Below are 14,683 nucleotides of genomic sequence, written 5' to 3'. Positions count from 1 at the left end.
TATTTAAAAAGTCATTGCCAAACTGAAGGTCATCTAGATTTTTCTTCTATGTTATCTTCTAAAAGTTTTGTAGTTTTGCATTTTACATTTAGGCTTATTATCAATTTTGAGTTAATTTTTGTGAGGGGTGTAAAGTCTGCATCTATATTCTTTTTTTTTTTTTTTTTTTTTGCATGTGATGTCCAGTTGTTTCAGCACTGTTTGTTGAAGAGACTATCCTTTCTCCATGGTATTGCTACTGCTCCTTTGCCAAAAACCAGTTGACTATATGTCTATGGGTCTATTTCTGGGCTCCCTAGTCTGTTGCACTGATCTATTTGCCTATTCTTTTGCCAATACCACGCTGTCTTGATTACTACAGCTTTGTAAGTCTTGAAGTTGGGTAGTGTCAGTCCTCCAGCTTTGTCCTTCTGCTTCAATATTGTGTTGACTATTCTGTGTCTTTTTACTTTCCATAAAAACTTAGGATCATTTTGTCAACGACACAGAATATGGTGGTGGAGTTCCGATTGGACTTGTGTTAAATCTATAAATCAAATTGGGAAGAACTGCCATCTTAACAATACTGACTCCTCCGATGCAGGAACACTGACTCCCCAATTACTTAGATCTTTCATTTCTTCCATCAGAATTTTATAGTTTTGCTCATATAGATCTTGTACATAGTTTGTTAGAGTTATACCTAGTATTTCATTTTTTGGCTACTACTATAAATGGCATTTTGTTTGTAATTGCAAATTCCAATTGTTCATTGCTGGCATACAGAAAAATGATGAGCTTTTATATATTCAATTTATATCCTGGAACCTTACTATAATTGCTTCTTAGTTCCAGGGGCTTTTTTCTGTTATTGCTGTTGTTAATTCTTCTGCATTTTCTACGTATAGTCATGTCATCTGCAAGCAGATTCCTTCTCAGTCTGTATGCCTTCTGTTTTCTTTCTTGTCTTACTGCCTTCCAGTAAAATGTTGAATAGAAATGGTGAGAGAGGATATTCTCGCCATGCTTCTCATCTTAGAGAGCATTTAGTTTCCCTCCATTAGGTATATCAAGCTATGGGTATTTTGCAAAATTTTTTAAATCAAACTGAGGTGTTGTCTTCTATTGCCAGTTCACTGAGAGTTTTTTTAAAAAACCAGGAATGGGTGTTAGACTTAAATAATTTTTCTGCATCAATTGATACGATTATATAATTTTTCTTCTTTATCCTGTTGATTTGATGAAATTTCATGAATTAATTTTGGAATACTAAAACAGCCTTGTATATCTGGAAAAAATCCAATGCAGTTTTAGTATATAATTCTTTCCATTCATTATTGAATTCAATGTGCTAATATTTGTTGGGGGTTTATACATCTATATTAATGAGAAATATTGGTCTGTAATTTTCTTTTTCTATTACGTCTTTGTCTGGGTCTGGTATTCAGGTAATGCTGGCCTACAGAATGAGTTAGAAAGTGTTCCTTCTGCTTCTGTCTTCTGGAAGAGATTGTAGAGAACTGGTGTAATTTCTTCCTTAAATATTTGGTAGAATTCACCAGTGTATGTATCTCAATCTGGTGCTTTCTCTTTCAGAAGATTATTAATTATTGATTCAACTTCTTTAATAAATCTAGACCTATTCAGAATAATTATTTGTATTTATTCATAGTTCTACTGTGGAAAAGGAGAGTGCAAGGCTGATGGGAGGAGAAGAGAGGGGCAAGCAGGGAGGAAGGTGGGGGCTGGTGGGGGAGGGACTGGGCTGCTGAGGAGGTGGGCCAGTGCGGGAGGTAATGGAGCAGGGGCAGGGTGAGGGTTCTAGGGGGAGGTGTCTAGCAGGGCAGGGCTGGGGCTGGAGGAAGCTCCGGTGCCTTCTGTGCTGACTTTCCCTAGGAGATTGTGTCTGGAGAGAGCCAGCCACGGACAAAAACAGCACTCAAGCTGCTCCTGTAATCCAACACAGAGGGCAAACAAACCCCAGTGTGGAAGCTACCCAGGGTCCCAGAGCAGTTTAGGGCAGAGCTTGGACCCAGTCCCCAAGCAGGCAGCGCCAGGCTGCACTCACCTTGGTCCCCGAGGTGGGCGCTAGCCCCACAGCGGCCATGTAGGTGCTCCCGATGGTCTTGATCTTCTCTATGTCCTTGTAAAAGTCTTTTTCCATGAGCTTTGTTTAAAACATAAAACTGTTAAACATGACATAACATTTGAGAAAAGTCGCTGCAGCCGTCAGCCCCCAGGAGCAACAGCAGAGCCGATGGACACATTCAGGAAAGCAACATGTCTTCTTTGCTTTGGGCAGACAAGTTCTAGGACTACACTGGCAAGAAGAGGTGAGGCAGGACAGTACAGGACACATTCCTGTCCCCAACAGGTGAGCTCGCAGCCACCAGGAGAATCAGGTCCAATGACAAGGCGTGGTGGGGCTGCCACAGTGCCTGGCTGGCTGTCGGGGTGGGGGGGGCCTGGAGGCACCCACCTGTCTGCCCATCTGTAGACAAGGGTGCGTGCCTGCCTGCCCATCTGTAGACAAGGGCCTGGAGGTGCCCACCTGCCTGCCCATCTGTAGACAAGGGTGCCCGCCTGCCTGTCCATCTGTAGACAAGGGCCTGGAGGCACCCACCTGCCTGCCCATCTGTAGATGAGGCTGCCCAGCCCTGGCCACTGTAGATGTCCCAGCCCTGACATTTACAACATGGACAACAAACACCCAGCCCCACCCAGTGGCCCTGGTCCCCCAACCTAGAGTCAAGACCCCCTTCTCTCCTGTCATGGTTGGTCTGGATCCCAAAGGAGACAGAATGCCTGTGCTTCCCGGGATTTGCTTTCTCTCATTCCAGCTACGAAGAATGTGACATATTGTGAGACACGCTCTGCCCACGCAACAGGATGCACCACCACAACCAGGCGGGGTCAGGATGGCGACGCACAGCCTCACCTCGTCAAAGTCGGCGATGATCTCGTTGAGAAGCCGCAGACACTCCACCCCCATGTTGTTGCCGTCCAGCTCGATGTAGAAGTCATTGAAGTTGGGGATGGAGGCAAACATGACGCCCACCTGGGAGTAGGACTGGTAGTAGAGGTCCTGGAAGTTCAAAGGATGGGTCAGGAAGGGTCAGCCAGGTGAGCGCCAAGTGGGGTGGCCAGAGCAGTGTAGGGCTAGTGCTGGCCAGGAGCAGGCTGGGTGCTCACCATGTTCCGAGGGTTGGACATGAGGAAGTGCTGGGCGACGTGGGCCGGCAGGAGGTTGAAGAGGATGCGCCTGTTGTCCAGCTTCACCTTCTCCATGTCCTCTCGCTCCTCCTCTGCCTGGGGTATCATGAGCCTCCATTAGTCCCATCCACTCACGCTGCCTTCACTTGTTCCCACCGCACACTTCCTTCTAATCATCCAAACTGGACTCCAGGTGTGCTGATGGTCTACATCCACGCTCCTGTCCCTCCTCCCCACTAGATGCAAGACTAGATCCATGTTACTGGGTAGGGAAGATCTGCAGATGTCTGCCTAAGTCACCACCTCATCTGCTAGAATGTCCAAAGGACAAACTATGGCTTCACCTCATTTCCAGGGTCCGCCCTGCCCTCCGCCACCCCTTAGGGACCAGATGCTACAGCAACTCTTTCTCAGGCATGTGCCCATCCACAGGCTCCACCAGCCCCCAGGCAGCTCCTGATGTGCCCCGCAGGGCACCTGTCCTAGAATGCCTCACACCCAGGTGGGGCAGACACCTTCCTAAGGCTCCTGTTTCCTCTGGAATCTCTCTGGTCTTCACTAGAGCCACATCCCTCTGGGCATTGAGGCAAGTAGAACCCTGCAGGGACCTAGGGCAGGGGCAGATCCAGGGCCAATGAGCTCATCTGAGTGCCGACTTCCAGCCCCCTGGGGCAAAGAGTAAAGACCCAAAGGGTCCCACCATGGGGAGAGGACACGGCAGAGCAGATGGCAGGAGCAGGTGAGTCCCAGCCTGCTTACTGCTAGCTGTAGGACCCTGCAGAGACTGATTAAGCTGACAGCAAAGGCCTCATTCACAGACCACTGTGAGGGCTCAAGAAGTGCTCTTGGCAGGACCCAGCACAGCCCTAGGAGGCAGAAGCCACCAGGGTCCCTGTGTTTCCTCACACAGAACCCAACTCCTGAAAGGAGTGAAGCTTGGGGAATACTCTAAGTATGTGTCAGCATTTATGGAGGCATCAAACTCTTGAATGTAGTAAAAACTGTGCAATGATTGCCCTTGCGGAGCGGCCCATGGCCTGGCCACCACAAGCCATGGTTTGGAAGCCAGCTCCCCTGGTTCAGGTCCCCCTAGGTGGCTGGTGACCCGGCCAGCAGATGCAGCCTCACTGTGCCGTGGTTTCCTTATTGTAAAATGGGTGTAACACACCCACTGTTAGAGGGAACACTTGTAGGGTTGTACTTAACAAGGGCTGAGGGGACAGCATGCCCCTTAGTTAAGCCTAAAGAGCACAGCTGCTTTCTGGCAGTACTGATATTATCAGAGCTGAGCTGGCCACGAATATGCCGCTAGACTGCACACAGTGATTCCACCAGTTAAAACAGAGAAGTGGAGATTTCTAAGGATAGAGATGACGAGGCCCCGAGCCTTGAGGGCCAGGTACGAGGATGGGGGTGTGTGTGAAGCCAGGCAGGGCATGCAGGGCAGGCCTGGTGCAAGTGTGTTCTGGGAAGACAATGCCAGCGAATCAGTGCGATCCATGGAGATAGACGGCGCCAGGTGTTTCTTCCTGTCCCTTAAGGAGCGTAGACCAGAAGCAGATGAGGACAAAAGAAACCCAGGGACCATAACCTTCTCGGTCAGACCAGAGCTGGGGTCTGGCTGCCCAGATGGGCTGGAGCCACACTCTGCCCACGCAGCGGCTGTCTGGGCACAGTGCTGACTTACTCTGGGTCATGCTCAAAGGTCAGAAACCTTCAATTTCCAGCCTCAGATGGTCTCCGGGGCTGCTTTCAACTCAAGTTCTCATCAATAATGGCATTCTGGACAAACACCTCTCTATAGGACCCACATTATTAATTATGTGTTAACACATCAGGCTCCAATATACACAAAAGAAAGGTTTGTAAAGGGTGACATAAACAGAAAGTGAAGAATATTTTCTAAAATAATAGCTTTGTTTTATTTATTAGTGGCACAAAAATTACTGCTCTCTCCAAAATACCATTGTTAATGTTAATAGTATTTTAGTGAAAACAACGTAATTGAATATGCTTTGATTAAAAACCATAATCTAGGTTTATGGCATTGTGATTTAAAAATTTGTGTCTACATTCTGCTTATTTCCACATTTGGATTAATGGGCTATCAGAGCTGCTGTCCTTCCCAAATCATCATATATCTCTTAATCCATCCACAAATGCAAAGGTCTTTGTTGAGATTTGACTGAGAAACGTCTGTCTTTCCCTGTGCCACTTATTTTCACGAACCAAGCAGAAGTTGTATTGTTATATATTTTAACAAATGTGATGAAAATCCACTGAAATTCTCAGTCTATAAGATTTTCCCACCAGGAAACTCTATTCTTAAGAAAGAATTAGTGGGCACCACACATTATTCCTGTCAACAAAATCACGTGTCCATCCAACCTCCATGTTCAGAATGTTCTCTTTATGGCACAGTTTCTTTCAAAAGGTATTTCCCTTCTCAATTGTCCTTCTGTTTCAGAAATCACTGACCAGGATGCATCTAGTGATAGTTACGTGATGCCTCAGAGAGGTCAGAGCCTGGAGGGCTTGTCATTTGGAAAAGAGAACAAAATAACAAACAGCATAACTTGGCAACTCCCTGTGTGCCGACATGTGCTATGAGTGACCCCCACAGTCACCCTGACAGAGTCTTCTAAATAACAAGACCAGTAACCACAGAACCTGGAATCAACAACGTGTTTACTACAAGGGAACAGCCAAGGGAGGGTGGTCCTGTCCTCATTCTGTCTCAGAAGTGATGTCCCCACCTCCCTCCTGCAAGTGACACAGGGCATCTGGCCAGTGTCAGGTCAGCACTGCCAGTTCATTCTTCAACATCAGGAAAAAACATTTCTTAATTCTCAGATACAATCACTATAAATAGACTTTGTGATGCCCTCTCCCCAAACCTCACTGAACCATCCAGTGTCCTGAGGTGCACACACCCCTCTTTGCGGGCATCCCAGGGTCCACAAACACCTCCTTTTGGGAAAGTGCAGAGGGAAAGGAACTTCTCCAAGCACAGCAGCAGCTAAGACAATAGTCTTCAGCCCCAAGGTTAGAGGAACTTAGTCTCTAACTTTGGGGCTGAATTGCTTCATGTTCAGCTTCTTTGACACTTGGTTTTCCCTTAAGCAAGAGGCACTCTGTGACCCATGCCACCGACGGGACGAAGAAAGATCAGAGCAAGCAAGTAAGAAGTGATGCACGTCTCTGCATGGTGTTGCTGCTCCAAGGACGGATGAATCCTGAGATTCAGGGTGACCCTGGCTGGGCAGGCTGGGCAGGGTGCACATGTCCAGAGTAGCCCCATAACTGTTGTCAAGAGGGCAGAAACACCAGAGGGGCAAAGCCACATGCCCTGACCCAGTGAGTCTCCCCGGAATGGATGCCAGTGGCTTCTCTCCTCCCTGCAGGGCTCTGGGGTAGAAGTCCCTAATGCTCACCACTGACTTTCAGGGACAAAGAGGATTGTGCAGTCCCAGCCCTTGATAACCAGAGAGACCAAGGGGGGCTTCTGGCTGGACCCTCAGTGGCCAGCCTGGACTTCACAGCCCCCCTTCTGTGCTGCAGGACTGAGGAAGCTCCGGTGTCCACTGGCCTGGATCTTGGAGGACAAGGATGACATGATCCTCTTGCTGTACTGCATCAGACATGTAGTGAGAAGAGAACTCGTCCTATCTGAGGAACACTACTGGCACCCTCAGAAGGCCTGCGACTGCTGCGCAACCTAGCCCGACCTCAGAGTACCAGGAGTAGGCAGCAACTCTACAGGGCTGAACTCTGGAGTATTTCCCACTTTCCACTCTCCTTCCCTCCCATGTAGTTAGGTCCCTGATGTGCCCCTACCAACTACCAGCCTCCCACCCTCCCGTCCCCCAGCAGAGGTGCACAACCACCACACGTTCTCCACCTTGTCCGCAGCTCTCACCCTGGCTGCTCGGGAGGCTGCTTTGATATGTCCCTCAAATATCAGTATTCCAAGAAGCATTTTTAGAGGTAATCTTACCCCTAAAGTAATTAATGAATCCAGTCTACCTAATCTCCTTGAGCAGTTATCTGCGTTTCCTTGAACACCTCACAGAGATGGGGGACTCACTACTATACATGTCAGCTTCACCCAACCTCAAACCCTCAAGCCGCTGGACAACATACGTTGAATGAAAATCTCCCTCCCTGGATCTTTTGTCCAGAGGCCTTGGTTCTGCCCTCAGTGTGCTCCAGAGGCCAGCTGTACCAGGATGGAAGGACTGAAATGCCCTCACCCTACATCCTACTTTCAGTTCCTTTGGTCACTCCTCTTACTGGTGACTGGTTTGAAGGTCCCTCTCTGCCTGGATGTCCAGGCTGAGCCCAGCAAGCTGGCTAAGGCTTCTCCCAGGCAGGGCACTGGCTGGAGGCAGGGCTTTAGCCAAATGCAGGGCTCCCAGCCACCTCCCCAGGCCTCACACCATGAGTTGGTACTCAGCTGGCTGTATGCTCAAAAGACTGTATTTTAAACACAGAATGACAGTTCAGTTTTATTTTGTCCAGTTTTTTTCTATCAATTCAGCGGCTGCAGTGAGCACAGAACCTGAGCCTACCAGGGGTCACTCTGGTGCCAGCTCCTACTCTGTGTTCTTCTCAAACCATAGGACCATGGTCATGCATGAAAATGACCAGCTTGATAGGAGGGTGAGGCATGGGGAGAGGTCGCAGCTCCCCACTGGGGACTCTAGCTTTGCACGGCCACTTCAGGGACCACATAACATGAACACATGCCTGCTTCTCACTAATTACTTTTCCAGCCAAAGCACAAGACTTTACAAGCACTGTTTACAGCATGGGGCAGGCTGAGTGTGGTGCAGGTGTTCTTAATCTGAACACCAGGGCCCCCGGCTCAGCATCTTTGTTCACCGGGCACCCAACTCAGCACTTCAGACCCATCAAGTCCTGCCAATGCAACAGGTGGCCATCCCCTAAACCCAGGCCTCTCTCTCATGCAGGCCCCTGCTGCCTGCTACTCCAATCAGCTCCACTTCCCTTTTAGCATAGAACAGATGAAAAGCCCTTTTTAGATCAAAAATGCATTTCGGTTAAGGCTTCATGAGGAGAAATGTGATTTACATTATTCTACTACATTAAAGAGAAATCTTAATTTTAAATTTGAACAATTCAATGAATTAAAAATGTTATCCCTGACCTTTATTAGAAAATGAGAGAATAAGCCTTCAAATGCTGCAGTTACAATGTGTGGATGCAGGCATGCACATGTACATGTTCCACACTGCCCTAGGAAGTCCATAAGTGGTGTATGTGTGTGTGTGTGTGTGTGTGTGTAAGAGAGTATGTGTGTTTGTGTGTGCATGCACACATGCATGTGTGGTTTTCTATAAAATACTTAGCATCTTGTTGTATTTCTCTTTCCAAGAAATAAAAAGGCAGACCACAGCCCTCATGATGTGTTTGTCCCATCCATGGCCCTGTGGTATAAATGAGGCTGTGGTGATGTCATAGCTGGGGGAATTGGAGTTCATGAGCTGGAGGGCAAATCAGCTCAAATAAACCAGGACTATCCAACATCCAACCCCCACAGAAATGCTGGGACCGGCGGTGGTGAATGCAGAGGCTGGCTCTGTTTCTGACAATGAAGTCTTTACTCCTAAGGAGCTTCTGAGCTGAAAGTTTTGCTGTGCTGAAATGCTTGGTAGTTCTTCATTTCTTAGGATGAGTCAACATAGTAGTTGGAGGCAGGGCTGTGTCCAGTGTTTCAGACAGGAAGCAAGATGGGGATGCCATTTTAAAAGGTAAAGAGGGCTGGGCGCAGTGGCTTACGCCTGTAATCCCAGCACTTTAGGAAGCTGAGGCGGGCAGATCATCTAAGGTCAGGAATTCAAGACCAGCCTGACCAACATGGAGAAACCCCATCTCTACTAAAAATACAAAATTAGCCGGGCGTGGTGGCGCATGCCTGTAACCCCAGCTACTCAGGAGGCTGAGGCAGGAGAATCACTTGAACCCGGGAGGGAGAGGTTGTGGTGAGCCAAGATCGTGCCATTGCACTCCAACCTGGGCAACAAGAGCAAAATTCCACCTCAAAAAAAAAAAAAAAAAAAAAGGTAAAGAGAGCTCGTGCTAACAGTGAAGCTATGAGGCTGCAGTGGGCACAGCTGGTCCTGCCCCTGGGAGATCTGCTCTCAGTGATTCACGAGGTCCACCGTCACTGTACACGGAGAGAAACCGAGGCTGGGAAGACAGCATCCAGACTCCATAAGCAGAAGACACCCTGTCTAATGAAGTGAAGGCCCTGTGAGAGTCCTCTTTCCTAGCTTTGAATATCCACTTATACCAATATAAAATGTGGGGGTAGGATCTGCTGGAAATTGATCAAGCTCAGTTTCAGTGACTGAAGTTTCCAGGGTAAAATGTCAGACATTGAAATCAGGGAATTACCAAAATTACCCTTTTCAGAAAAGTCAGCATTTCTTGCCACAGTGAAAGGCCTGGTCCAATACCACCTCCTCCAGGAAGTCCTCTTCAGCCCCTTAATTAGAATAAATTACTCCTTTCTGAGGAGCAAACAACACCTGCCCAGGGCCTTCATGGCATTCTGTCTTCCACACTCCTCGAGTCTCCTCTCCTCTCCTCCCTTGATTAGCAGCAGCAGCCTGTGCACATTTCTGCCCACTCCGTGGGCAGAAAGCAACTTCTGGGGTCTTTGGACCTTTTACTCTACTTGCAAGATGCAGGAGAGTCTAGGGAGAAGCATAGGCCTCAGAGCTGGGGAGGCCACTGTGAATTTACCCACTCAGAATGTGAGGGAGGCCATCCTACGGGGGAGCACTCTGAAGCTGAACGGTCCTGGGGAGGGCTGAGAGCCTGACCCTGAGCACGTGTTGCCAGCACAAGCTCCCTTGTTTCCACAACAACTAGCCAGGCAAGAGTGGCCCCAGTCACTCCACATGGACACTAACTGTGCTAAACATGGTCTTTGTGATTATAAATGTAACAGACTGTTGCAGAAAATCTGGATTTTTCTTTTCCTTTTTTTTTTTTTTTTTTTTTTGAGATGGAGTATAGCTCTGTCGCCCAGGCTGGAGTGCAGTGGGGTGATCTCAGCTCACTGCAAGCTCCGCCTCCCAGGTTCACGCCATTCTCCTGCCTCAGCTTCCCGAGGAGCTGGGACCACAGGTGCCTGCCACCATGCCAGGCTAATTTTTTGTATTTTTTAGTAGAGACGGGATTTCACAATGCTAGCCAGGATGGTCTTGATCTCCTGACCTCATGATCCGCCCGCCTCGGCCTCCCAAAGTGCTGGGATTACAGGCATGAGCCACGGCGCCCGGCCGAAAATCTGGATTTTTCATTGCACACACACAGAAAAAAATGCAAAGCAGCCACACTCCATGACAGAAAGATGTCCTAGGGGATGTCCGGTGGGTCTGCTGTTTCAGACGGCCTCTGGTGCCTTAAAGCAGAAGGCTCCATTTCCTCATCAGAAAGTCTGGAGTTACCAACGTTTCTCTATCTTTTCGAACCAGGGAGGAATTGAGGTGCTATTTTCCACACTCTTGAGAAGAACACAGAGGTGCCTGCATTAGCAGTACTGAGTTCTGCAGGCTGGTCATAGATTAGCAAAACTGTGCTGTGCTCAAGTTAGGGCCTGCAGGTGAACTTCACGTGCTCAAGCCCAACATGGCATTGAGACACACCACAGACATCTTCTTTCTTGTTGCACAGTGACTGCCACACTGCTACCACACTGCTCTCCACGAACAGTCCACACTGTGGGCAGAAAGCAACTTCTGGGGTCTTTGGAGCTTTTGCTCTATGTTGAAGTTATGCTGCGTCCTTCTAACCCAGATCTAACCTTTCAGAGAAACCCTCCAGCCACACATGCATATGAAATCTTGACTGCTGTGGAGGGAGAAGCACAGGCCTCAGAGCTGAGGACTTCTAATTCTTGGCTGTGTTCACAGGATTCTGCCTAGAGACAGTTCTCACCAGAATGCCATTCCACTCTGGATGGTACTTAACTTGGCAGGAGAAGGATTCTGAGACATGTCATGCATGGCATCCATGAGAGTGCCCATTTAGGGTTTGGCAGATTTCAGTTCTGACCTTTGGCCATTTACTTTGGCCCTCACCTGTTACATGGGGATAATGACCAGTTTTGGGGTCAAAGACACTTAAATGGCCACATGAAGTTCCACTTCTGGAAAAGATGGAGTAACAGGAATTCAATTTGCCCTCCTACAAGCAACAAGCAGACCACACAAAATATATAAAACAGCAGCTTTCCAAATACTGGACAGGAGGCAATGAAAGACAGTGATCCTTGAGTGATGGGAATAAGTGATGAGGCCTGCAATGGCCCAGCATACTGCTGGGAGAGTTTCCAAGCCGCATGTAGAGACAGTGCCTGTGGAGCCTAGGGGTCTCCCAGATTTGACAAGGCTAGAGGGCTTGGAAGCCCAAGGCAGCTTGAGTTCAAAGGGAAAATACCAGAGAGGACACAGTGTTCTGGTCTCTTCAAGTCTCTAGTTGAGTACTGATTAGCAAAGGCTAGAGAAAGAACCATCTAGGGATTAGCACAGGTTAGGCAAAGGACTGTAGGGAACAACCCCCAAAGTTCATGCAATGCTGAGAATTGTTCCTGCCTCCACTGGCAAGAATAAAAAACCTTATAATTCACCAGGCATCAGGTAAAGTACTGAAAAGGGTTTTGCCTCAGGAGCGGACAAAATTAGTCTGAGAATTAATGCTCCTCTGGTTCTTCCTAACAAAGGTGAAAAGCAAGACCCAAAGGATCTGTATCCTTCCCTGTAAGTTGTCAATTTTATTGAGATAAAATTGATTATAATACTTCCTTGTTATTTTATTCCTTAAACATTTATAGAAACTGGTCTCTATTATTTAATTTCTTCTGATTACTTTTGGTTTAATTTCCTCTTTTCTGGCTTCTTAAGGTGATTTGAGAGAGACCTTTCTTCTTTTCTAATACAGGTGCTTTGTATTATACATTTTCCTCCAAGTACTGCTTTAGCTGAACCCCACAAATGTTGATCTCATATGTAGTTTCATTTGGTTCATATTACTTTCTAATTTCCTGTTTGATTTCTTTGAACCAAAAGTTACTAAGAAGTATATTCTTTAGCTGAGGATTTCTCAGAGATCTTTCTGTTATGGACTTCTAATTTAATTATATTGTAGTTAAGGAACATACTTTGTATGATTTGAATCCTTTTGAATTTCTTGAGACTTGCTGTACTGTTCATACTTATGTGCTCTTGAATAGAATGCGTATTCTGTTGCTGTTGGATAGTGTGTTTTATAAATGTCAATTAAGTCAAGTTGGTTGACAGTGTTTTTTTTTTTTTTTTTTTTTTATTATACTCTAAGTTTTAGGGTACATGTGCACATTGTGCAGCTTAGTTACATATGTATACATGTGCCATGCTGGTGCGCTGCACCCACTAATGTGTCATCTAGCATTAGGTATGTCTCCCAATGCTATCCCTCCCCCCTCCCCCGACCCCACCACAGTCCCCAGAGTGTGATATTCCCCTTCCTGTGTCCATGTGATCTCATTGTTCAATTCCCACCTATGAGTGAGAATATGCGGTGTTTGGTTTTTTGTTCTTGCGATAGTTTACTGAGAATGATGGTTTCCAATTTCATCCATGTCCCTACAAAGGATATGAACTCATCATTTTTTATGGCTGCATAGTATTCCATGGTGTATATGTGCCACATTTTCTTAATCCAGTCTATCATTGTTGGACATTTGGGTTGGTTCCAAGTCTTTGCTATTGTGAATAGTGCCGCAATAAACATACGTGTGCATGTTAAACTACCATCAGAGAATACTACAAACACCTCTACACAAATAAACTAGAAAATCTAGAAGAAATGGATACATTCCTTGACACATACACTCTCCCAAGACTAAACCAGGAAGAAGTTGAATCTCTGAATAGACCAATAACAGGCTCTGAAATTGTGGCAATAATCAATAGTTTACCAACCAAAAAGAGTCCAGGACCAGATGGATTCACAGCCGAATTCTACCAGAGGTACAAGGAGGAGCTGGTACCATTCCTTCTGAAAGTATTCCAATCAATAGAAAAAGAGGGAATCCTCCCTAACTCATTTTATGAGGCCAGCATCATTCTGATACCAAAGCCGGGCAGAGACACAACCAAAAAAGAGAATTTTAGACCAATATCCTTGATGAACATTGATGCAAAAATCCTCAATAAAATACTGGCAAACCGAATCCAGCAGCACATCAAAAAGCTTATCCACCATGATCAAGTGGGCTTCATCCCTGGGATGCAAGACAGGGTTCTTAAGTGTTGTAATCTGTCACTGATTTTCTGTCCAGCGATTCTATCGCTTTTCGAAAGGAATGTTGGAAACTCCAACTATAATTATAGATAGAAGAATTTCTTGCAGTTCTATCAATTTTTACTTTATGTATTTTGATGATCTGTTTTAGGTACATAAATGTTTAGGACTATGTCCTCTTGATAAACTGACCCCTTTATTACCCGCTAACATTACTGAAAGACCCTTTTTTTCCTTTGACCAACATTTAATTTCTTGCTCTTGAGATCCAGATTTGGTAAGTCTTTGTGAGCTTAGTATTTTTTTTTATTTTGAAATATTTAATTGACAAACAAAAACTGTATATATCTAAGATGTGCAATGTGATGGTTTCCTATATGTATACATTGCATAACTACTACGATCAAATTACTTAACAAATCTATCACCATCTGCAGTTACCATTTGTGTGTGTCTGGGATGGGGGCGGTGAGGACACTTAAAATCTGCTATCTTACCAAATTTCAAGTACACAATACAGTATTATGAACTGATTTTTTAAAATAACAATAAAAACAAGCATCTCACGAGACAGACATACTTACCCCACCTAGCACTCTGCCCTTTCCTTGGCTAATTCCTACTCATCCTTTAAGCCTCAGGGGTGAGGTATTACATTTAAATGATATCACATCCAACCTACCTGGGTCAGGGTCCTGTCTACATTTTACATGGCACGCCCTTCACTGTACTGAAATTTTCTGTGGCTTGTGTTTGATTCCTTTAACAGCCTGTGAGCACCCAAGGGCAGGGGTTACACCTCAACCATGTGAGCGTCCCCAGCACAGGATTAGGTATACTTTGGTGCCCAATAAGCACCTGTTGGATGGAGGCAGGTGGTAACACTTTGTGTGTAGGTACAGAGTGGATGCCTGCCAGAGGCTGTGTGTGCACTCTCAGATGGGCAAAGGGTGTATTTCCAGTGGGCATGGGGCCTGATGGATGTGGGGTCCTGAGGTTACGCACCAAGGTTTGGCTCCTCGGAGGTTTCCATAGAAGTGTGCTGCAGGATGCAGCTAGGATACATCTGGAACCATCTGTCCCTCCATAAAAGCTGTTTGTGAGGATGTACTCACCCAAAGGCCAGATGTGAAACCTATGGCCAGTAACAGAGGACAAGATGACGACTAACAAG

The 14,683-nt window shown here is 46.5% G+C and overlaps 1 protein-coding gene across 2 annotated transcripts in view; it reads right to left on the bottom strand.

Annotated features, from left to right (window-relative positions):
* Positions 1–14,683, bottom strand: part of ADCY1 (adenylate cyclase 1) — a 148,977-nt gene that overhangs the window by 16,453 nt on the left and 117,841 nt on the right. For both annotated transcript variants that reach the window (NM_021116.4, XM_005249584.4), the window contains exons 15-17: positions 3,172–3,288; positions 2,918–3,064; positions 2,048–2,146 (exon numbers count right to left, since the gene is read on the bottom strand). In NM_021116.4, the coding sequence (NP_066939.1) occupies positions 2,048–2,146; positions 2,918–3,064; positions 3,172–3,288 (363 nt within the window). The remainder of the gene's footprint in view (positions 1–2,047; positions 2,147–2,917; positions 3,065–3,171; positions 3,289–14,683) is intronic.

The sequence above is a fragment of the Homo sapiens genome, chromosome 7, assembly GCF_000001405.40.
Source record: "Homo sapiens chromosome 7, GRCh38.p14 Primary Assembly".
Taxonomy (NCBI): Eukaryota; Metazoa; Chordata; class Mammalia; order Primates; family Hominidae; genus Homo; species Homo sapiens.
This window is presented reverse-complemented; position numbering and strand designations above follow the sequence as displayed.